This window comes from Homo sapiens, chromosome 22 (assembly GCF_000001405.40).
Source record: "Homo sapiens chromosome 22, GRCh38.p14 Primary Assembly".
NCBI lineage: Eukaryota > Metazoa > Chordata > Mammalia > Primates > Hominidae > Homo > Homo sapiens.
Window position 1 is genome coordinate 37,124,117 of NC_000022.11, and position 24,196 is coordinate 37,148,312.

General features: G+C 56.1%; 1 protein-coding gene across 3 annotated transcripts in view, besides 2 other annotated features; it reads right to left on the bottom strand.

Moving 5' to 3' along the window:
- Positions 1-1,721: 1,721 nt before the first annotated feature.
- The window catches only part of IL2RB (interleukin 2 receptor subunit beta), a 49,281-nt gene continuing 26,806 nt past the window's right edge, over positions 1,722-24,196 (bottom strand). For 2 of the 3 annotated variants that reach the window (NM_001346223.2, NM_000878.5), the window contains exons 2-10: positions 19,969-20,089; positions 19,405-19,519; positions 18,318-18,396; positions 15,001-15,106; positions 13,471-13,619; positions 12,112-12,277; positions 11,212-11,326; positions 8,268-8,352; positions 1,727-4,732 (exon numbers count right to left, since the gene is read on the bottom strand). In NM_001346223.2, coding sequence (NP_001333152.1) covers positions 3,980-4,732; positions 8,268-8,352; positions 11,212-11,326; positions 12,112-12,277; positions 13,471-13,619; positions 15,001-15,106; positions 18,318-18,396; positions 19,405-19,519; positions 19,969-20,056 — 1,656 coding nt within the window. In that variant the 5' untranslated portion in view covers positions 20,057-20,089 and the 3' untranslated portion in view covers positions 1,727-3,979. Of the gene's footprint in view, positions 4,733-8,267; positions 8,353-11,211; positions 11,327-12,111; positions 12,278-13,470; positions 13,620-15,000; positions 15,107-18,317; positions 18,397-19,404; positions 19,520-19,968; positions 20,090-24,196 lie in introns of all 3 variants that reach the window. The other variant, NM_001346222.1, reaches the window with a different exon arrangement.
- Positions 3,032-3,081: an enhancer, noted in NCBI's record as "active region_18943". NCBI's record gives its function as "activates an Ori minimal core promoter by ATAC-STARR-seq in GM12878 lymphoblastoid cells {active_cell/tissue: GM12878}" and the evidence as "EXISTENCE:reporter gene assay evidence [ECO:0000049][PMID:35858748]".
- Positions 24,087-24,136: an enhancer, noted in NCBI's record as "active region_18944". NCBI's record gives its function as "activates an Ori minimal core promoter by ATAC-STARR-seq in GM12878 lymphoblastoid cells {active_cell/tissue: GM12878}" and the evidence as "EXISTENCE:reporter gene assay evidence [ECO:0000049][PMID:35858748]".

The window sequence follows — 24,196 nt, forward strand, 5'->3', positions numbered from 1 at the left end:
CTCTCCTGGCCACCGTTCAGCCCCATCTACCTGCCAAACTATCAAAGGGCTTTGCTTTTTCTCCCACAATCACACTAATGGATCATGGCATCTTATTTTCCCCCCGAAGTTGACTGCCAGGAAGCTTAGAATGAAATTTTACCAGGTATTTTCCCATTAGTATAATTATCTCCTATGTAGCCTTCTGTATGCTAAGGGCCAAAAGCTCCGGAGTCAGATGTACCTGAGTTTGAATCCTGATGCTACCAACCATCAGCTGCGTTGCTCCACCTCCCTGGGCCTGTTTCCTAATCAGCAAAATGGGGAATAAAGCACCTGCTTCTCAAGGTTGTTTCCAGATGATGAGAGATGACGCCCAGGCCATGCTGGCACAATGTGTAGAGTGGAAGTATTGGTTCTCTTGCCCCTTCTTACTGTCCTCCTTGGTCTGTTTTTTCAGCTGTCAGTAATGAGGAGGACAGTGGTGGGTGCTTCATCCTGGACCTGGGCCTACAGTTTCCACCATAATTTACTTGGGAAATGCAGGCACCTGAAGTTGCTTCGAATGAGAGATGGGAGGTGGGGGAACGGAGGAAGCAAAATAACAAACCTAGTTCAACAAAGAGGAAACATGAGAGGCTGGAAGGCCCCCCCCTCCCCCCACCTCTCCTCCTTTTTCTCTTACCCCCAAGATCTGCCCTGGCTGCCTCCTGCTTCCCGCTCTGTACCTGACGGTTCTCCAGGGCCCCAGCGGCTGCCCGGTCCCCAGCTGGTGCCGCTCCTGTCTCCTGAATCTGACCCAGGCCCCTCCTGCAATCTGACCACCACCCCTGCCGCCAGCTGCTTCCTCTTTGTCTCCTCTCCCAAGATCCACACTCGGATCCACACTGGGCATGACACACAGTGACCGCTGGCCCATCCCTTCATCTGCACCCGGTATAAGGTGGCCCTGACTCTGCTCCCTGCCAGCTCAAGTCTCTCACCAGACATGGTGGGGACAGCTGGGCTCCCTGGGCTTGCCTCTCACAGGTCCCTCTCAGCTTTCCAGTCTCCATCCTCTCAGCTTCAGTTTTCCCTGCCTGGGAAATCGGAGTTGGGAAACCTAAGAGCTCCTTTTGTGTTAGGAACCTGAGGAATTATGCGGTCCAGAGATGTCATCAGCTATCAGCTGTGACCAACTGGGGGCTGCCTATAGCGCAGCATTGCAGAATCTGAAGCTGCACCCAGGCTCTGCAGGAGGAGAGCTGTGTTCAATTAGAAATGTCTGCCGTGCATGGGTGCAATTGATTAGTAATGTCTGCCATGAGTGTGGCTTTATGAATGCCAGGAATTGCCATCCCTGGTCTGGTCCAACTTTTATCAGGACACTATCTATCTATCATCTATCTACCTATCTGGAGGGAGGGGGATAGAGGGGGGGGGAGAGAGAGAGAGAGAGAGAGAGAGAGAGAGAGAGAGAGAGAGAGAGAGAGAGGAGAGAGAGAGAGATTCGTCATCAAGTGCAATATTTCCCCAGGCATAGACTTGTGGGATATGGCCATGAGCTGATACCTGGACACAGAATAAGACAGACAGTCCTGACTCCTATTAGTGAAAAAGATATTCCCTTTACAATCCTTTTCCTTTCTCTCAAGGAGGAAGTTTGCATTTGGCCCTGGGATGTCTTCGACAGCTCCCCAGCAGCTTCTCATTTCCCCTTTAAGAGACAACAGGTTTACCGCAGGCAATGAATATCAACACTATTTTGTTGCATTGTACTTATTTTGTACAGTTACCTTTTATTTATAGCGAAAATGGGTTTTTTCATTTACAGAGTAACAAAGATTTTTCTTTAAATAAATGTATTTCAACGAAAATGAACTGACTTAAAGAAAAAATATTAAGGAAATAATCACAAAGATGGTACACACGGATCATTAAAAGATACGGATGTATAGATACATATGTCACAAATGATTAAGACTTAAAAAATGTAACCCTCCCAAGAAGTGGGAGCCTCCCAAAGTGGAGAAGGCAAATACAATTTCCATTTGGGGGGATAAGGAGACCGACTTGCAGAGAGGATTAGTAGGTTGCCCCAGAACACACAGCAAAGGTGTGGAGCCCCTTGTGGTCTGAAACATTCAGGACCCTATGGCAGGAGGTGAGACTGTCCAATAATTCAGCTTTTTTCAAGGCATAGACCCAAGACTCAGACAACCTCAAGAAAGGGGAGTTTATTTTGGATATAAAGGCAACAGGAATCCTGACCAAATGGTCAGCAGCCCTCTCAGCAGTAGGTATTTTTGTATTGGGAACCCAAGGTCCTCTGCTTAGTGGCTCAACGCTTGTCTACCTTTCCAAGGCTCAACGCTTGTGGAGCCTTGTCCACAAGCACCTGCTCCCAAGGGCCTCCCTCCCTGAGTTCAAACGCCCAAGACAGAGTTGATCTGATTGGCTAGTTCAGGCCCAGCCTACCTGATTGGACAGAGCTTGGTGCCAAACCCCCTCATAGGCTGCTGGTCAGAGCCTGTGGGGGCGTGTGGTCAGGTGCCCAATCAGCTGTGAGCAAGGCCTGTAAGTGCAGGTGCCTGAGGGCTCCCAGGTCAGAGTTAGCTGGGACTGGGGTCACTGTCCTGCTGGGGTGGAATGTTGTTTGAGCCATTGCAACGTGATCTGCCTAGGAAAGATACGTGGAGGGGTCGGGGTAGGGGGTTGAGCCCCTTGCAGGAGGGGGCATGCCAGACCTAATGGGCACGGGACTCTGCCTCTCTGTGTGAATGTCAGGCGCAGGGAGCCCAGACGAGGTGGTGCCAGGTAATTAATTCGTTCATCCAGGGTATACGACGGGGTGTTGGGCACTGTGTCTGGGGCAGTGAAAAATAATGAGGCCCTGCCCTGTGGAGCTGCCCTTCTGGAGGCCAGTGTGCCAGTCCCTGAGCTGCAGAGGAGACCCCTCCAGTGGAGGGGGCAGTGGGAGGTCCCAGGCCTGGCAGCATCAGGGCCCACCACTAGGCGGGGCTGCTGCCTGGGCCTCGGACTCCAGGGTTTACTCCCCATCAGCTTCTCTTGTGGGTCTGTGAAGCCACTGTGGGAAGATGCAGCAGGCATCCACTTTGTGGGGGGATCTGTGCCCTTACTTGGGCCCCAGCATTAAAGATACAGCAGCCAAGCACTCTGAGGCCTCAGAGATCCCAAAGGAATAGTAACAGGGCCTCTTTCTCCAGGCGCCCTGGGTCCCTGACAGCTTCTCCCTCCAGCACTGACGCTAGAAGTTTCTGGCAGATTAAGGGAGGCAGTGCTTCCCTCCAGGAGAAGCAAAACCGGCACTTGAAGAGTCAGGGAAGTTTGTCACCTAGATGAGGGGGAGCGCACAGCAGCCCCAGGGAATAGCATGTGCAACAGAGGGGGTGTGAGGGAGCTCTGAGTGGCTCAGGAGGACGGTAGGGAGGATTGCAGAAGGGGATGTCCCCACACGACACCGGAGGTACAAGTACCAGGCTGAGAAGTGGGGCTGAGGGCAGTGGGACCTGTGCAAGGTTTTGAACCGAGGGGGAGCGTGGCCATATTTGGGTTTTGGAAAGCACGCTCAGGCTGCCCTGTGGACGGGGAGGGGAGGGAAGGAGGAGGCTGGGGCAGAAAACCCAGGGAAGAGGTCAGGGCAGGGAGCCCTGGAGAGCCGCGAGGACTGATATTGGTGAATAGCTGCAGGGCTGGAGAGGAGCGATGCTTCTGAGCCTAAATTCGTGGGATCCTGTGATTAACGAGGGAGTTGGGGAGTTACTGCCCCCCTGCAACACACACAGTTCCTGGCTCGGGCAGCAGGACCCGGGAGCAGCAGTGGAGGTTTGGAAATGGATGGACCAAGTGTGCAGGACTGGGTGGGGGCCATCCGGGTGGAGAAGTCCAGCTGCAACTGGACACTGAGTGTCCTCAGCAGTGGACTGAGGACCCTCAACAGGGTCCTTCTGAGGCTCGGCGCAGAGCAGGCAGCTGCCTGCCTCCCACCCTGGCCATCTGTCTACACCAAGTGAGTTGGGTCCTGACCCTGGAGTTCTTGGAGGGACAAGTAGGCATCAGTGTTCAGGGGCAGGCGAGCATTAAGGGCCCTGAACTCCCCCTGCCCAGGAGGCCTGGACCAGGGGAAACTGACTCCCTCCCTGGGGCCAGCGTCAGGGACCTCCTCCCCAGCCTCTCGCAGCACCAGCTCAGGGGGTGGCTGAAAATCCACCAGGTCTGGGACTCCTGGGGTGGGAGGCCCCAGGGGCTGGGGGTCCCAGTCTCTGGGGACTCTTTCTTGCAAAGAAGGGGGCATCCTCTCTTCACCGGCCCCACTGCCCCCAGGGGCAGTGCTTGGGGGGCTGGGGCCACCGAGGAGACTGGGGGAGAAGAGCAGCAGGTCATCCCTGGAGGGGAAGGTGCAGTAGGCGTCGTCCTCCCCTGACAGAGGCTGCAGGGGTTGGGGGGAAGACCCTGTGGGTGCCCCGGCCACACCCTCATCAGGGTCTTCCTCTGAGTAGGGGTCGTAAGTAAAGTACACCTGGCAGGCCTCTATCTCCAAGGCATCCGGGAGGTGGAAGAAGAAGTAACCCTGGTTGGTGAAGCAGCTGGTCAGCGAGTGGTTGCTGCTTAAGGATGCGGGCTCAGGCACCTTGTCCTGCTGCAGGAGCAGCTGCGTCACCTTGTCCCTCTCCAGCACTTCTAGTGGCGAGATCTCAGGTGCCAGGCCGCCAGGGCTGAAGGACGATGAGGGGAAGGGCGAAGAGAGCCACTTCTGGTGGGAGAAAGGCCAGGGGTGGGTGAGTGGGGGCTTCCTTCACCCTCCACCCCTTCCTCTGGACTCTCAACAGCTCCTAACTCCTCCTCCTCCTGAAGCAGTTGGCCCAGGGCTGCCCCATCCAGGAAGCTCTCCCTGATTATAGCCCCGCACTCCCCCAACCCACCCACTGGCTTGGGGGCCCTCTGGGCCACCAGCCCAGGGACACTGCCTGACCCACAGCCCAGCACAGGCCTGCCTGGCTGCCAGTAGTGCCCAGGAATGTCTGATTGCTCAAGAGTGACTGTTTATTGGACACCTGCTATGAGCCTGGCACTGTTCTAGATGCTGGGGACCCAGGAAAGGAGAGAATCCTCAGACTGTCTAGTGGGCACTAGCACAAGTGTGGGAATCGATCCACCCATGCCAAAGCAGAAGGGCACTGAGAGTACAGCCTGTTCACCCTACAGATGCCCAGAGACGGGACATGCCCTGGCCCTGATCACAGACCAGCAGGCGGCAGAGCTGGGACCCAGGGTCTCCGCTTACACTGTGGTGGGAACGTCTCTTGGGGGAGCTGATGGTTTCCTGATTCACCTTTCCCCCAGTTCCCTGCAGTCCCCACCCCCACCCCCTCCGCCTCCCATCCCCAGAGAGAGGAAAGTGCCCATCAGAGCACTTCTCAGTTGCTCGGGATTCCAGAGAGCCCTGGCAAGGAGTGGGAAGACCCGGGTTCTAGCCCTGGCCCTGGCACTCACTAACTGTGTGACCCTGGGAGGGCCCCTGCACCTCTCTGGGCCTCAGTTTCCACAACAGCCACGTCTCTCCTGACTTCCTTGCTGTCACCCATCAGGTCACCAAGGAGACATCAGGTAAGCAAATGGAGATGTAAACACCCAAAACGGGTAAGACACAGACTGCACAGCAGAGTGGGGGACAGCAGGCCCTCCTGGTGGTGTGGCAGGGGCCTCGGGTGGGTGAGTTTGGGAGCCCTGACAACCCTCTGTCCTGGGAACCCTCAGCAGCTGGACTATGGCCCCCTAAGCACAGGGGCCAGGCCCAATGGGCTCCCCAGGCCTCTGTGCCCAGCATGGCGGGTCTCATGGATCTATTTCAGATGAATTAATGAACCAGCAACAAATGCCCAGTTCTCCTCTCCAGGGAGAGTCCCTGAGGCTGAGCCAGCTGCTCCGCAGACACACACACACACGCTTACATGCATGCACACATGCACACACGTGCACACACCACTCAATTAAATCCGCCCCCTTTCTGCAACCAGGAGTTATGTCACAAAAGAAAAGGCTGAGAGAGGCAGAAAGGATAAACTGAGGATGGCAAAGAGGGTCGCTGGCTGGGCAGAGAGGAAGAAGCACTGGTCGGGTGAGATTCATGATACCCAGGGCAAGGGCGGGGCCAGACAGCAGCCCTGTGTGTGCAGCCAGAGAGGGAGCGGCCAGGCCTGTGGCCAGTGCCGGTGAGCCAGGGACCCACTGCCTGTGGCCAGCTACTTCCTGGGCCTGAGCCTCTGCCCACAATGCCCTGAAAGGGGCTTCAGGAGACACTCACGCCCCTCACACATACTCCCACACTCGCACACACGTTCCACGATCCCCTGGGAAGTGGGGGTGGGCCTTGTGGCCCCTGTGGGTCCTAGGGTGGAGGGGTAGGTCTCTCACCCAGATGCAGAAAAGGTGGGGCCTGCTTTGCCATCCCCAACCCCCAGCCACATCATGCCTTCTTCCTCAGGACCCCGCTCCACACACTAGACCCAAGGATACCATACCCTCATGGGAAGCTGGAATGGTTTGCAGCTCCCACCTCACGATGTTGTAGGTTCATAGAATCAGGACTTGAAGCTGGAAGGTATCTGAGCATGCAGCTAATCTACCGCAGCCTCCAACCAGTTCAATGGGAGAATCTCTATGCTTCTGACACATAGGCAACCATGGCTTGCTTGAATACCTTTATAGATGGGAATCTTGCTACCCTCAAGGCTGAGGGAAGAATTTTAAGGAAATACATTCCCGCACATTAAGAGTACTGCAACTAATGGCCAGGCACGGTGGCGCACGCCTGTAATCCCAGCACTTTGGGAGGCCGAGGCGGGCAGATCACCTGAGATCAGGAGTTCAAGACCAGCCTGGCCAACATGGCAAAACCCCGTCTCTATTAAAAGTACAAGAATTAGCCAAGTGTGGTGGTGTGTGCTTGTAGTCCCAGCTACTCGGGAGACTGAGGCAGGAGCATCGGTTGAACCCAGGAGGCAGAGTTTGCAGTGAGCTGAGGTCGTGCCATTGCACTCTAGCCTGGACGACAGAGCAAGACTCCATCTCAAAAAATAAATAAATAAATAAATAAATAAAAGCACTGCAACTAAGATATTCTCATCTTGGGAGTTTTCCAAGGAGTTCCAGAAGGGGCCCTTGATCAGCCCTGATAGAGAACTCCAAAGCCAGGTCATGACAGCTCTGGTCCGGCATGGCTTTCCTCCTCCGCCACTCTTCTTGACCTCCCTCTGCCCCTACCTCATCCCCACCCCCCAATCTTGGGAGCCTAGAGTGGGGCTAGGGTGGTAAAAAGTACCCCCCATGTCCCCCCTTCATTCTTGAAGCTTCCTGCCTGAAGGGGGCATGGGCTGGGGAAGAGGAGACGACGGAATCTGAGATGGAGTTTAGAGCGTTACTGATCTGCGGGCCGGCACTTTAAAAATGAATCGGTGTTTTGTGACTCAAAGTGACGGGAAGACTTGTTAGTATCCACGCTAAGTTATGGAGCCTGCTCAGGAATTTTGAGCAGGGACAGGAGAAGCACAGAGCATGTCTGCACAGACAGTGGGGTGGAGAGAGCTTGTGCTGGCAGGTCCTGTTCGTTCAGCACACCGGCAACGGTAATACCAGATAGGGTACTTTTTTTTTTTTTTTGAGATGGAGTCTCACTCTGTCGCCCAGGCTGGAGTGCAGTGGTGCCATCTCAGCTCACTGTAACCTCCGCCTCCTGGGTTCAAGCGATTCCCCTGTCTCAGCCTCCTGAGTAGCTGGGATTACAGGCATGCACCACCAGCCCGGCTAATTTTTGTATTTTTAGTAGAGACAGGGCTTCACCATGTTGGTCAGGCTGGTCTCGAACTCCTGACCTCGTGATCTACCTGCCACAGCCTCCCAAAGTGCTGGGATTACAGGCATGAACCACTGCACCCAGCCTGATAGGGTTCTTTTGAACACTAACTGCGTGCCAGGCAATGTACTCAGGGCAGGACACATAGTAACACTGTTTTTCTCCTCATCTAACAGGTGGGGAAACTGAGGCCCAGGGAGGCTCTATAGGCCCAAGGTCACACAGCCAGAATGTGGTGGAGCTGGGATTAGAACCCAGGCAGTCTGGCTCAGATGGAAAGTGCCAGAGCTGGAGAAGAGACCCATGCACACCCCGGAGGCTGCTCACTTCGGCGTTTTGTCTCCTCTCACAAAACACAAAATTAGCTACTAACCTGCCACCCCCTCATCCCACTCACACCCCTGCCCACCTCTGTCTCCCCGCCCCGGCCTCCTACCTGGACGTCTCCTCCATGCTCTGAGCTCAGCTGGGAAAAGAACTTCGAGGGGTCTGGGGTGTTACACTTCAGGACCTTCTTCAGCCTGGACAGAGGAGAGGAGGGAAGGAGGAGGGTGAGAAAGGGAAGGACCGCGGTGTTATGCCATCGGCACCACAGCTCTGGATGCCAGGCACGGAGCCGCACCACATTTACTTATGTATTTCTTCCGCCGATACTAAGTGTTCACTGTGGGAGGACGCTGTGTTGGGCACTGGGGAGACAAGAATGGCCAACAAAGGAGGTCCCTGCTCTCAAGGAGCTGACATTCTCATGGGGAGATGGACACAAAGCATGTTGCAACATCACCATTCATTCTGTGGAGACAGAGAGCACAGTGCTACACAAGACGGGGAGGTGGGGGTCGATGGGGGTGAACACACAAGCCAGAGTGGTCAGGGACGGAGATGGCTAGAAGAAGTGGAATGAACCAGGAGGCGGGAGAGAGGAGATGGGCTTTCTTGTCAGGGCTGCCATGGATGGTGGTTCAGGTTGTACACTGCCCAAGGGCATTAGGCTTGGGCAGGGAGTGGGAAAGGTGGTGGTGAGTGAGGCTGAATTCCAGCCCATGTTCTGCTTGCTAAGCTGAGTGCCTGGAAGCTGTGTACATCACCGTGAAGAAAGAGGCACCATTTTTGATTTGCCCAAAGGTTCCACACAGCTGGTGGAGGCCCTCAAGGGCCAGGGTGTACTGCAGCGCAGTGAGCGGCCTCTGAAGAGTGTTAAACAGGAGAATGACATGGTGGAGAAAGCACTGAAGGGGCGCAAGAACGACAAGGAGGAGGGCAGTCTGGAGGCCACTGAACCCATGCCTGGGAGAGGACCTCTCCCTCTACAGGGACATGGTTTCCCTGAAGGCCTGCAGGGAGCTGTGGGCGGAGGGGACGGGTGGGTGGAGGAATGCTTGTCTTCTTGGGAGGAAAGAGGAAACGGGGCTCCGAACACTGCCGAGAACCACTGCTCCAGGACGAGGGTCAGGAGAGCGGCAGTCACTCCTAACTGGCTATGTGACCTTGGGCAAGTCAGCTGACTTCTCTGGCCAGTCCTGGCATCAGTTAAAAGGCAATGGTAGCCCCTGACTCACTGCCTTCCCAGTGCTGGGGAAAGTCGAGTGAGGTGACACAGCTAGGCACGCTTTGCAAACCTCTTGGGAGAAGCAGGGCTCTCATCAGGGGGCCACAACCCCCGGTCAGAAGTGTCACCTCCTCACCGCTTTGCCCTCCACCAGGCCACGCTCCACACAGCAGCCAGGGCTACAGAGGGCGAAGTGGATCCTGTCCCACTTCTGGGGAAACCCTCCATGACTGCTCGGCACACGGCCCAGGTCCTCACCACAGCCTGAGGCCCCAGGAAGCATCACTGCCGCCACAGGCCCAGGCTCAAGTTCAGCCTCCTGCCCCACCCACTTCTGTCTCCAGCCACACCAGCGCCCCTGCACTCTGTTCCTGGAAGTTTCTTCCCTCCTGCCTGCCCAGGGCCTTTGCACATGCTGTTTCCTCTGCCTGGGACACTCTCCCCATCCCCTCCACACCCCCCATGGGCTCCCACTACAGATTTCAACAGAATCATCCCTTCCTCAGGGAAACCAGCCCTGGCCACGCCCCAGCCAAGTTTCCCCTCCCTGTTTTCTGCTCCTGATACAGTCAGCACTCAGGATCCGTGGGTTCTGCACTCACGGATTCAGCCAATCTCTGATCAAAAATATTCAGGAAAAAAAAACCCTCATAGCAATACAATAATAAAAAATAATACAAATTTTTAAAATACAGCATAACAACTATTTACATAGCATTTACATGGTATTAGGTATTATAAGTAATCTAGGAGATGACCTAAAGTCTCTGGGAGGGTGTGTGTAGGTTACACGCAAATATTCTGCTGTGTTAAATCAGGGACTTGAGGCCGGGCGTGGGGGCTCACACCTGTAATCTTAGCATTTTGGGAGGCCAAGGCGAGTGGATCACCTGAGGTCAGGAGTTTGAAACCAGCTTGGCCAACATGGTGAAACCCCGTCTGTACTAAAAATACAAAAACTTAGCAGAGCACGGTGGCGTGTGCCTGTAGTCCCAGCTACTCGGGAGGATGACGCAGGAGAATCGCTTGAACCCTGGAGGTGGAGGTTGCAGTGAGTCGAGATTGCGCCACTGTACTCCAGCCTAGGTGACAGAGTGAGACTCTATCTCACAAAAAATAAATAAATAAAATAAAACAAAAATCAGAGACTTGAGTATCCACCAGCTTTGGTATCTGTAGGGGGTAGGGAGGGTCCTGGAACTGGTTTCCATGGATCCTAAGGAATGGCAATACGTCGACATCCTCCTCTGCCATCCTGATCCCGGTGTGTCATTACACACCTGCATGATTGTCTGCCTTCCCCCACTGGGCCGTGAGCTGCCTGGAGCTGGGGCGCATGCATGCGGCCTGCCACTGTGTTCCCAGCTCTTTGAGCTGTACCTGGCATGCAGCTCGTACTCAGTGAATATGGGAATAAGCGAATGACAGACCTAGATGGACCGGCGGGGACCCAGACACAGAGACAGCTGACATGTGCACACGGGCATCCCCAGTCCTGAGAGCAGTGTTCTGGACAGGGCCCCGGGGCTCTCCCTGGAGGGCTGCACCTCCCACCTTCCCCTCGGGTTGGTTCCACAGGGCCCCCCTGTGGGGATGCGACACAGGGAAAGGCCAGGTTTTGGACAGGGAGGACTCTTTGGAGGGTAGACGAAGCACGGGTGTATCAGAGCAGGGGGTTCGGTCCAGAATCTGACCTGGCAAGGTGGCATGTGTTCATGTAAGTGTGTGTGTGTGTGTATGTGTGCTTGTGTGCGTGTGTGTGCATGTGTGTGCATGTGTGTGCACGTTGGAGGGGTGGGAGCATGAAGGAAGGGGAGGAGAACCTTCTTACCATGGCCCGGTGTTCCTGCAGTTGATCAGCAAGTACACTAAGATGATGAAGCCAAAAGCCCCGCTGAGGCCCACGAGGAGGTGGCCGAGCCACGGAATGGTGTCCTTCCCAAGGGCTGCCCAGGGGTGGGAGAAACAGCAAGGAGAGGGGTTAGAGAAGTGCCCTCACTCACCCTGGGTCGGTCACCCCAACACCCCCATCCAGGGCCCTGCCACGCAGGCCTGCGTCTGGGGGGCTGGGGACAGGGTTCTGCTAAGCCCATCCTCTGGGAAGCCAGATTTCATGCTAAAAAGAAATGACACGGTGGCATTCTAAGAGCTCCTCCAGCTCCAGACAGATCCCATGGGCCCCCCTGGTGAGCCTACAGCCCCCCACCACCCCCACAGCAGCCTGGGCTCCAGCTGGCTGCACCCCTCTCTCCACCTCCCTCCAAGCACCACTTAGAGGACCCCAGGTCTTGCTTGGGCTTGAACTCGAAATGTGGTGCGATGAGGGACAGGCGCCCAGCAGACCTGCTGAGGGCCAGGCTGCCGGGACATCACACGCCTTCCTCACAGCAGCTCTGCCTCACGGTCACTGTACCCATTTCACAGATCAGGCCGAGAGGTGAAAGCAGCCACCCCCAGCCCCAGAAGAAACCAGGAGTTGGAGATTTCAGGGTGGAGAAGAGTGAAAACAGCCTTTCGACCCCTCCCCAACTCACAAGGCCCATGGCAAGCCCCGTCCCCTCACTGAACCCCTGTTCCTGTCTGAAAAGCGAGCCCCCTGCAGGGTTACAGCAAGTGAGGGATGGAGCTGACTGCTATACCCTCACCCCAGGCAGGGAGAGAATGGAGCAGCTCCTCCTCCAGCCGCCCCCTCCTGCCTGAGCCCCCTCTCACCCTTGCCGCCCACCAGTACCTGCAGGCTTTGTCCTGAAGGCCAGGGGCTGGCTCCAGGGGCTCCAGGTCGTGAACTCGCCTTGCAGAGGCTTGACCCGCACCTGAAACTCATACTGGGTGTCTGGGGTGAGCGTCTCCAGGCAGATCCATTCCTGCTTCTGCTTGAGAGTCAGCAGGGGGGCCTCCTGGGTCGGAGACAGGACTGTCAGCGCCCACCTCACCTCCCATGGCAGGGCCAGGAGGCTGAGCATCACAGAACCCCCCCCCAACCCCTGCCAGCTGCACCCCCACTTCCTTGCCACCCAAAGCTCCCTCACTACCCAGTTGCTGGGGCCTCAAACCCCAGGGTCATCCCCTAAAGCCCAAGTCATCAGCTAATCAGCTGGTTCCACCTCCAGAACCTGGTTCCACCTCCATAGCCATTCCAGAACCATCCCCCTCTCTCCCCGCCGCACTCACCCCAGGCCTGAGCTGCCGCCCTCTCCCAAGCCTGCAGCTGGTCTCTGGTTCCCACCCGTGCCCCGCTGCAGTCTAGTCTCCACAGGACCAGAAAGTGGGACGTCTCCGCACACCTCTCCCACCCTGGGTCACTCTTTTTGCCTCCTCCTGCTCCCCAGACACATAGCAGCATCCTGCCTTTGCCGTGGCAGGTCTTTCTAATTTTGCAAAACTTCTCCCCAGATCTTTGCAGGTCAGCTCCTTCTGGACACCCAGGTGTCCAAGGGGCCTTCCCTGGTCACCTGAGTCTGAAGTAGCCTGTGCCAGTCACTGTCAAATTCCTTGCCCCGTTGGGTTTTCTTGATGGAACTTATCACTATCCGGGTGCCTCACTATCCCAGACCCTGTCGCTACATCTGCTGACTGACTGCCTGCCTGCCCTGCCCCAGTCTGAGATTCCTGAGAGTGGAAGTTTGCTGAGCTCACCCTCCGCTCTCTCCCCATCATTCAGCGCATAGTAGGTGCTCAGCAAATATTTATTGAGTGAGCAGTTGAGTGAATGAAGAAATGAGTGTAAGTGAATGAATAAGCAACAGGCCCGCACGGATGTGGAGCAGATGGGCTTTGACACGTGGAGGGTTGGCTTCCCTGGCCTCTGAAAGCCCATGGGGCTGGGCAGCTGCCTATCTCCTGGCTTTCTGAATCTTTCCCTGGTGTCAGCCTGGAACCTGCTGCCAGCTGGATCCCCAGGATTAAGGGGGCTAGATAAGGACGTGGAAGTCGGGGAGGCAGCCCCAGGCAGTGCAGAAAGAGCACTGGACTCAGCCACCCACCATCCACCTGGGGCTGAGGGGACCTCGACACAATGAAAAAGGGACAGGACATGGACCAGGACAGGAAGGAGGAACCAAGGCAGGTACGGACTGGGCCACATTCTCACCTCCCAGGTGTGGCCTGGGGACAGCGTCCGGGCCTCGAACTCCAGGTGTCTTTCAAAGTAGTGGGAGGCTTGGGAGATTTCCCAGCTTATGTTGCATCTGTGGGTCTCCACGTGGACAACTTGGAGGGAGATGGGGGCCATCAGGCGAACTGGAGACAACAGGGGGTAGGGGAGAGCAGTCAGCCATGACCTCCACCTCCCACTTTGTACCTGCCACTCCTCCCTCCTGGCACATGCTACCACCTCCCCTACCCCCCGACCCAAAGCCCCAGGACCCGCTCCCTCACTGCCTCCAGGCCTCTCTCAATGATCACCTCTTGAGAGAAGCCTTCCCTGACCACTCACCACTCTGCATCCCCCTTGCCTGTTTCACTTTTATTCCCAGTGCTTATCATCACCTGACCTACGAAATATATGGTTTGGTTTCTTTACTCATTTTCTGTCTCCCCCAGCAGACTGTGAGCTCCTTGAGGGCAGGGACTTGGTTGTCTGCTGTGTCCTTGGCACCTGGAAGATTACCTGGCACTTGATTCAGTAGCTGCTGGATGAATGACTCACGGCAGCTTTTCTCTGCACTTACAATTGACCTGAGAGCTTTCCATGGATCATCTCATTTATTTTAAGTGTGATGATTATAACACTGTGATTCTGAAGTTAAATGAATCTCAGTTTCTATACTTCTAAGACTCTATAGAACCACATAAGTGATAAGCAGATGCTGAGTGCTGACTACATGGTAAGCAGTTTCTATGTCTCAGTTCAAAGATGCCTTACAAGCCTGGTAGGTAGGTGACTCCGATTCTCCCCAAAACTCAGGCTCAGAAAGTTTCGATGGTCTGCCAGTCAGATCACATCCAGTTCAGGCCTGACTCTCACTTTCCACCCCACTGCTTCCCTGGAGATGGCCCCCAAGGTCAGCAGGCAGTCGCTCAGGCATTCAACAAACCTTCCCAGACCACTGTCCTGATGAGACCTAGTGCTGGGTGCGTGGCAAGGAGACACAGGGGTGGCAGAGACTCTGCCTTCAGGGTGCTCACAGCCCAGTGAAAGAGACAGACCTACAATCAGGCAGTAACAACCCAGGACATACATTCCCAGAAAGAGGAGGTACAAAGGGCTAGGGGAGTCTAGGAAGGCCTCCTGGAGGAAGTGACTTTCAACTAAGCCTCGAAACGTGAGTGGGAATTTTCCAGGTGTAAAGGGCCTTCCAGGCAGTGGGATCGGCATGTGCAAGGGCTCAGAGGCAGGGATAGGCAAGGTGGGTTTGGAGAGTTGGCCTTTGGCTGTAGCAGAAATATAGGCCTCAAGAGGAGGAGTGCCGGGGAGGAGGCCCAGGGCTGGATCCTGAGCGGCCTTGAATGCCAGAGGAAGGAGCCAGGACGTCATCCCGAGAACAGCGGGCGGTGAGGTGATCAGATGTGGGTGTGGAAGCTGCCGGGGAGAAAGGCTGGAGCAGGGAAGATCCCAGAGGAGGTGGAAGGAAGGAGGTGCCCAGCCCTGCCCCAGCCCCACCCTGGCTTCCTCACTCACGGTTCTCAAAGGGCTTGAAGTCCTGGATGGCCATCACCCTCCATCGCACCCCCTCACGGCACAGCACCCTCAGGGTGACGATGTCAACTGTGGTCAGTTTCTGAGACTGCAAGGGAAGGAGGGCAGGGGTGAAACTTCTAGCAGCTTCAGGCAGGGGAAGGGGGAGGCCACCGGGATGACCTGGGAAGGATGGCAGCCTCTCCACATGCCCCGCCACCCAAGGCAGGGGCAGCAAATGTTTTCTGTAAAAGGCCACATAGTAACTATTTTTGGCTTTATGGGGCCACATGGTCTCTGTCACGATGACTCAACTCCGCCACTGTAGTATGAAGCAGACGTAGGCAACATGTAAATGAATATTAGGGCCATGTTCCAGTAAAACTTTATTTAGAAACACAGGCAGTGGGCTGGATATGGCCTATGGGTCAAGGTAGTTTACCAACACTTGATCTAAAATGAAGTGAGCTACCTTGAGAGGGAGTGAGCTCCCTGTTACAGGAGGCATGCAAGCTGGTAAGCCCCCACAAAGGTACAGTTCTGGAACTATACCTGTTTAACATTTTTTAGTGTGAAAGGCCCTCCCCTCCCCTATCTCTCCCCATCCCTACGCCTTGAATTTTCTGGAAGAAAATGGCCAGGTATTGAGCATTTTCCTATGAGCAGTCACTGCTCAGATGCCTTAGCCCCTCAATGCACACAGCATCCATCCCATGGTATGGGTGGGAAGCCTGAGGCTTGGGCTGGTCAAGGGACCTGCGCCAGGTCATGCAGATGAACAGCAGGGGAGCCCAAGTTTAAACCCAGGCCCTCTGTGTCCCCCTACAGGGTGACTGCATCTCCGAGTCCTGGCTTGTCATGCCTGACAGAGGGCTGCCGAGTGAGCAGCTTAAGGCATCCTGCCACTGTGCAGCTGCCAACCCTACAGCCCGGCAGCCCTGCGGGAGGAAGCTCTAGTGCAGGCCTCTTAGGATCTGGGGTCCAGGATGCTGATTTCAGGGCCGGGACCTTGGGCACCGTCCCTCTGGTCTGCATAAGACCCACTATGGGCAAACCTTAAACCTGATCGTTGGAATTCCCCAAACTGGCCAGTTCCTCTCCACCCTATAGACCCTGTCCTAGCCTTCTTATAGCTGCTATGGGGGCTAGATTTTCCCCGATGATAGTAGTCTCATTATTATTATTATTATTATTATTATTATTATTATTATTATTACTATTATTGTTATAAAAATATTGCCAATCATACATTCGCGTGATCACTCACACTGTGCCGGGCACTCTTGAGAGCACTTTACATATATTGTCTCATTTAATTCTCTCAACTTGGGCACAGGCACTGTCACTATTTCCATTCTACAGCTGAGGAGACTGAAGCACAGAGAGCCTTAGGGACTTGCCTGAGGTCACACAGCTAAGAAATGGTGGAGCCAGGATCAGAAACCAGGCCACCTACAGAGCTCCCTGCAAGGGGAACAGCATCCGGTTCCAGAGGCTGTGATTTTATCAGCTACACTGTGTGACTCCATCTTCACACTCTCCTGCCCCTCAAGAAGACATATAACCTGATGGAAGATGTGGTCCGGGTGTCCTTGGAGCCCGCTGCCGCCCAGGAGGCTTTGACAGACAATAATTTGATGTACACTCATATGGACATGGCCATATGCCCTGCAAGAGGCAGCCTAATGCAACGGTGAGAAGCCTGAACTGGGAGCCCGCAGGCCTGGGTTCAATCCCAGCTGTGTACTTCCTGGCTGTGTGACCTTGGGCAGAGACCATACCTCTCTGAGCCTCAGTGTCTTCATTGGTAAGAAGGGGACAGTGCTGATGTTGACCCATGGGGCTGTAGGTGAAGGCCGCAGCTGCCCATCCGGAGTGGCCGCTGCTAAAACTCTGGCTGCAGCCGGGAGGCGTAGCTGGGGTCTCCTGCTCCACGGAGCAGGTAGGAGCCCTGCCCTCCCAGGCAGGGCTGCAGCTGCCTAAGTCTTGGCTGTGGACCCAGGCCTCCTGGTGCTGTTGGGGGCTGGGATCAGGCAAGAGCCCCGCTCTCCTGGGCGCAGCTGCAGCCACCCAAGTCGTGGCCACAGAGCCAGGTGTCCCTGCACTCTCAGGGGCCCTGGTCCAAACCCAAGCCTCCAGGTGATCTTGCAAGCAGGGAGCACGCAGGAGACCCACCCTCCCGGGCACAGCTGCAGCTACCCAAGTTGTGGCTGTGGACCCAGGCATCCCTGCACTCTCAGGGTCTGGGAAGATCCCCCCTTGCCTCCGCAGGCTCAGAGCTGTCTGTTCCCACTGCTTGGCCTCTCCCCTGCTTCTGGCACCCGATCTGATCCTGGAGGCACAGTCGGGGCTACGCACTCTGTGGATCCAGTGTGAGTCGGGGACAAGCGGGACCCCTGCCCCTTCCGAGGTAGCCAGGAGCTCTCCTGGGGCAGCTGCAGCTGCCCAAGCCAGGACCCAGGCATCTCTACTGCCCCCACAAGCTCAGGGGTGTCTGCTCCCACTGTCTGGCCTCCTCCTGCTCCAGTGCCCACTCCAATCTCAGAGCGGGACCAAGCCCAGGCACTACCACAGCCTGGCACGCTCGAGGCAGCACTGACTCACTGGCCCCAGCTGCCTCGGCCCCCTCTGGACTTTAGGCACCAATGAGCACAGGGGGATGGGAAGCCACGGGGGTGCAGGGGACAGCTTGGCACTGGCCTGCAGGTGCCCCTTGGCCCGAGCAGCCTGGGCAGAAGGAGGCGGGTCCCTGGTGAGGTCCCACCTTCAGGCTGGGGAGGGCCTGAAAAACAAGGCCCTTGTTGGGCCTTGACCCAACAAGGTAGGTGCCATTATTATGCCCATTTTACAGAAGGGGAGACTGGGGCACAGGGGTTGCCCAATGTCACCCAGCTGGTGAGCCAGGGCTGGAGCATCCAGCTCCAGAGTCTACACCCTTCACCCCCCACACTGCACTGCACTGCCAAGCCCCCGGGAAGAGCTGGGTGTGGTCATTACAGTTACTGGAGTGCTGTCTTACTTGATAAGGAACACAAGTGTCACAGGACCCACAAAGCGCAGGGGAGACAGCAGGAGCAGAGGCAGAATGGCAGATGCCTCACATACAGAGGGTCCGTCGGCCCTGGGGCAGGCCTGAGTCCACTCCCTGGGGTGTCACCTGTTTTTCTCTGCCTCTTGCTCAGCGCTGGGCATCCTGCTTAGCCACAGCCCCAGCCATTGGGCCTCAGCTCTTCCCCTGGCATCCGGCCCACCCTGAGATCGCAGCCCGGAGCTGGGAGACCACCCTCTCCCTGCACTCTCTCCCTGGGTGGGCTACTCACATCTGGGGCTCCGAGGATCAGGTTGCAGGCCCAGGATGCTTGACTCACGGGGAGCAGCTCACAGGTTTGGTTCCACCGCCTTTCATGGCAAAAGACCCTCTTTAGAAGAACAGGAAGGACCCACACAGCTGGCCCAAGGGACTCTTCTCAGATCTCTCTGCTGCCAGGATGGCACCAGGCAGCAAGGCCAGGCTGGGGCCCCTGTGCCAACCACTGTGAGGGGCACTGCCTCCCCCACTGGCTCCATGGCATTCCTCCCTCATGGGCACCTTGTCCTGCTCCCTCATCCCAGCCTGGTCCCACGGCAGCTGGAGTGATCTAGAAACACAAACCACTTCAAGACAGGCAGTCCTCCCCACCTAGAGCCCTCCAAAGCTCCATGAGGCTTAGGATGAAGATAGATCCTTAATTAGGCCTTCAGAGCCGTGTGGAATCACCACCCACCCAGAAGCCAGGGCCCGAACCTGCCTTACCCCTCCATCTCCCTCCCCATTTTCCCCCACCCCACACCCTATGGAATCCACCTGGGCCCAGCCACCTCTCTGTGGTCTTCCTCTTCTCCCTGACCCCATCAAGCCTACCTGGGGTCAGTCCCTCACTCACTGGCCGCCTGGATGTTTACATCACAGTGACATCTCTCTCCCATCCACCAGGCACCCAAACCACTCCCAGGTTCCCTGTCCCCACAGCTGCCTACAGGGTCTCTCAAAATCCGAGCTTATCCAAAAAGCTTGGGGACCCTCCTTTCTCCCCACTTCCTCTCTGCTTGCCTCTAGAGTGGAGTCCAGCCTTGGCATAGCAGGCTTGCAGCTCAGTGTCCCCAAACTACCCTGTCCAGTTCATCCCCAGCCCCTCCACTGCAGCCTGGACTCCACCCAGGTTCTAGAAGTCTAAATAGCTGACTCCCAAATTCTCTTAAACGATCCCTTGATTCCAGGCCTGGGCCCCAACTCCTGTGATTCAAAAAGTCTGTGGGTCCCATTAGTCCAAGATTCTGTAAACGTTGACTCCTTGGAGTCCAGTGCATAGGATCCAGAATATGAGATCCCACCATCCTAAGATTCTGCAGTGTGGCCAGTGGACTCACCGTCTGTCCGGCCAGGCATGGACTTGGCAGGAAGTGTCCTGCAGAGCCCCATCTTGGCTCCAGACACAGGAGATGTTGGCTCTCGAGTTGTAGAAGCATGTGAACTGGGAAGTGCCTGCCGGGCAAGATGAGGTGTGAGTGCTGACTGTAGGTGCCCACAGCCCCCCCAAGACACGCCCACTGCCCCTGCACCTGGCACCCACACCTGCCAGAGGAGGAGGTGGGTAACTCTGGCAAGCGGAGAAGGGATTCATGGACCCACTTCAGAGAGGAGGAAATGGAGCTCCAGAGCCTGCAAGTTCCTACAGGCAAACTAAGGCAAGGCAGGGACAGAAAGTAGCACAAGCCTGTGGCTTGGAGAGGCGTGTGTGTGTGTGTGTGTGTGTGTGTGTGTGTGTGCGCGCATTCATGCATGCATGCCAGGGCAGGGGTCCAGGACAGAGGGTGAGGCAGGAGGTGGACACCTGGTCTCTGGCCCCATCCCCTTCTGGGAAGAGGCTTTAGCAGGGCCTTAGCCATCTCTCCATAGGGAAAGCAGAGCTGTTCAGATGTCAGGGTCCTCACCATTCACCGCTGCAGATGCCCAAGAGGTAGCCAGGGGCAGGAGGAGGATGAGGAGGGGCAGACGCCAGGACAGAGCAGGGGCCGCCATTACATCCACAGGGTGGAGCCGAGGAAGGAAGCCCTGGTGGGAGAGGAGAAAGAGAGAGCACACGTAAATACACATCCCAGGCCTCGCTGCCCCTAGAGGCAGGCTGGGCCCGCCCCCTCAGTGTGCATGGTCTGCACTCCTCGGTGCCAGCTCAGTCCAGCCCCAGGGCCTTTGCACCTGCTAATCCCACCACCCTACACATGCTCACACCCTTCCTTCAAGTTTCTGCTCAACTGCAGCCTCCTTTGAGAGGTCTTCTTTGACTAGACTACATAAAGAAGCACCCGTCGTGGCCAGGCGTGTGGCTCATGCCTGTAATCCCAGCACTTTGGGAGGTCGAGGCAGACGAATCACCTGAGGTCAAGAGTTTGAGACCAGCCTGACCAACATGGTGAAACCCTGTCTCTACTAAAAATACAAAAATTAGCCGGGCAAGGTGGTGGGTGCCTGTAGTCCCAGCTACTCGGGAGTCTAAGACAGGAGAATTGCTTGAACCTGGAGGCGGAGTTTGCAGTGAACCGAGATGGCACCACTGCACTCCAGCCTGGACGACAGAGTAAGACTCTGTCTCAAAGAAAAAAATAAAAGAAGCACCCTTTGTTACTCACCACCCCCCTACATTTTCATCATAGCATTATTTATTCATCGTTTATTGACTGATTCATGTTTTCCTCTATCTCTCTTCACAAACACACACAGAGTCACGTAAGCTCACTAAGGACAGGTATTTTTGTGTTTTGTTCATTGCTAGGTCCACAATTCCTAGAACAGTGCCTGGCACATAGTAGGCATCTGGCCAAAAAAAATTCTTGAACAAACAAGTGATGGAATAAATATAGACAGAGCTAAAGTCAGCAGGTAGAGGGGCTTCCAGAGGGCTCTGAGGCTAGCCCCTGCCTCTGCCCCTCACTGTCCCTCGAGGGAGCTGAGGCAATGGTGTGAAGGCATCAGGACGCGAACTCGGAAAAGCAGAAAAGCAGATAGGAGCTCTGACCCAAACACTGAAGAGCCCTAGAGGACAGGGGAAACTGAGGCACAGAGGGCTGCAGTAGCCTTTACGGAGGACCTTGTCCACACTCGTACTCCCCTACCTGCCTGGAAGCTCCCTGGAGGCAGGGCCAGGTTGGTCACCCAGATTATACCCCAGGGAGGAAAGAGACATGAAATCTCTAAGCCAGCCCTGTCAGAGGGAGGCTCAAAAGTTTTCCCGGAGTGCCTATTATGCACTGGCCACTGGCCAGTGCTTTATTTATTTACTTTTTTTTTTTGAGACAAAGACTTGCTTCTCAGGGAACCTCTAGCCAACCGTGGAAGCTCCCGTGAGGCAAGACCACAACTGTCGCAGCGGAAATGGGAAAGAAAAGTAGCTGCCCCCACCCTCTGCAGGGGCTGGGTGTGCGGAGGGGAATGAGAAAGTGAGCACATGGTCACTTCGGGAAGATAAGGGGACTGCTTCCAGGAGAGGTGTTTGGAGCAGGCAAAGGGGGAGGCAGGGAGATGAGGAGGGAGCTTCCAGGGAAAGATGAGGGTAGCCTCAGTCAGAGGGGCAGGGGGAGAGGGGAGAGGAGCAGGTGAGTCAAGAGATGTGGAGGAGGTGGAACATCCTTCCCTCCCTCCTGCTCTTCCATCTCGAGAGCTTCCAAGGCTCCTGAGCGTTGGGCATTTCCCCCGCTGTTCCCCCTTCTCCAGCGGCTCCAAACTCGAGCTCTCACTCCCCTTCCCTTCTCTCTCTTGAGCCTCTCACTGGCTCCAGCCCTCAGCTTCCCAGGGTCTTTCTCCAGCTCAGCCCCAAGCCTCCACGTCCCTCCCGATGGTCTGCAGGACCCCCTCACAGGGGATGCTCCTGGACCCGGCAAAAACCCAGCTCATCCCCAGCTCTTCTCCTGTCTGACTTTCAGTTCTGGGACAACTGTACCCTTCCTATTCCAGGTGACCTTTGCCCCCATACCTAGCCAGTCAGGACTCTCCTCAGACAGCAGGACACTCCAGTGACTACTTGTTGTCTCTTCCCCACCCTCACCAGGCCAGCCTCGTGCCGTTCCAGCCCAGACAACGGCACCACCCCATCTGCAGGCTCTCACCTGCCTTCCCTGAAGCCCGCCTCCAACCACCCACATCCCTGCCCAGGAACCTGCAGTGGCCCTGTTGCAATCAAAGCCTAAATTCCCATTTTCGAGGCTTTCTGGGACCGGAATGAGGTCAGCCCACCCTTCCAGACCCTGCCCTCACAGGAGCAGGTGCATGTACCCAGGCCAAAGCACACACACACCGCACCTACCTGCCTGCACAAGCCAGTGGCTCCAGGTGACCAGGAAACCGACACTCACCCTCCAAAGGTCCTTCCCAAGTCTATCCTTTCCCTGGGTCCCCTACAGATCCTGCCATCCTTCAAGCCCATTTCAAACGGGCCCTCATGCCTTTTTCCATGAAGCCTTCCCTGATTTCCGTGATGGAGGGCGAGGGCTTCCTCTTCTGAGCGCCTTGCTCCTCCCTCTAGGCTGGCAGCAGCAGGGCCGGCGTTGACCAGGGGCTGGCCCACCAGCACACTCGCTCCAGGGACTGCTGAGCACAGGGCCGGGCACACAGTCGGTGCTCAATAAATGTAGTGAAATGAATGAGTGTGGTCAGAGGCCTCAGTACGGCAAAAAAAAAAAAGCAGAGCTCTTTAGGTGGCCCTGGATTGTCTCGTGGCTTACATCAGAGCCAGCATGGAGCAGGGACACACACCCTGGCCCCAAGAGCCATGGGTTCCATCTCCTAAGGCAGATGTCACAGGAGTGAGAGTCAGAGGCCCACGCACTGTCAAAGCTGCAAAGGCTCTCTGAGCAAGCACAGTCCCTTGTTCTACATTTGAGAACACTGAGGTCCCGAAGTGGGAAAGACTTGCTGAAGGTTACATCAGGAGCCCAGCACAGAGCTGGGATCAGAACCCAACTCCACGCCGCTCTGCCACCCCCTTAGTCACACCAAAACCATCGGCTGACAGGTTACTGTAAGCCAGGCTCCATTTAAAACTCTTTAAATGCAGCAATCAGGGCCTCTGGCGGGGATACTCTTATTATCCCCATTTTCCAATGAGGAAACGGAGGCACACAGAGGTGAAGTGCGTTGCCTAAGGTCATGCAGTGGATAAGAGGCCTTTCTGGAATCTGAGTCAGGGCAGACTGCCCAGTGCCCAGGCAGGGATCCTCCCCTCCTGGAACTCCCCAGACGCATCTTCCCACCACGACAGCTCACACGACAGTAAATATGCACTGGTGAACTAATAATACTCGTTCTGTGTACTGAGCACATACTCTATGCTAGGCCTGGGGCCAAGTGCCTCACATATGCCAGCTCGTCTAAGCTGCCCAATGGCTTTATTATCCCATTCTACAGATGAGGAAACTAAGGCTCCAAGCCCCTAACTTGCCCAGGGTCATAAACACAGTAAGAGGTGGAGCTAGGGCTCCAGGCTCACTCTCTCATGCTGTCCCACCCTGCCAGACACTGGTCCCAGAGGTAAGGCTGCCACCCTCTCTGTCCTGGGAGTCAGGACCCAGCAGCTCACAGACAGACTGGCAGGTGCTTATTCGGGGTACCATGGGCTCGCCTTTGCCTGGCCTACCGTCTCCACAGGAGGGTGAGCTCCCCAGGGTGGGGGCTGCTCACCTCTTTCTTGGGATCCCCCAATAGCAGAGGGCACAGGGTTGGGACCCCAAAGAGTGCATAGCCCAACCAGGGGACTCCCATAGCCCCTATGCCCCTTCACGCTCAATCATGCCAACCTGGCCCTGGGGCAAGGGGACCATCAATGTTTTGTGTGGGTGTCACCCCAGGTCGGGCCCAGCCTCAGGATGACCCCATGCCCAGGACAGGAACTGCAGAGAGCCCCAGTGTGTGAGGAAGGTGCTGAGGGACAAAGGGGTGCAAGGTCAAAGGAAGGTTAGGGGTAAACCACAGGCCCAGCCTAGAGGCAGCCGGGCAGGAGGAGAAAGCGCCATCTGGAGTCTGCTTCCCGCCGCCTGGAGCTCAGAGGTGCAGCGATGCTCGGAGAGGGCAGAGTCCACGGGAGGATGGTGTGGGGGTGCCAGAGGGGCACAGAGCTGAGGGAGCGCCTGGCAGTCACTGAGGCTGCACCCTCATTCTGCAATGGGGAAG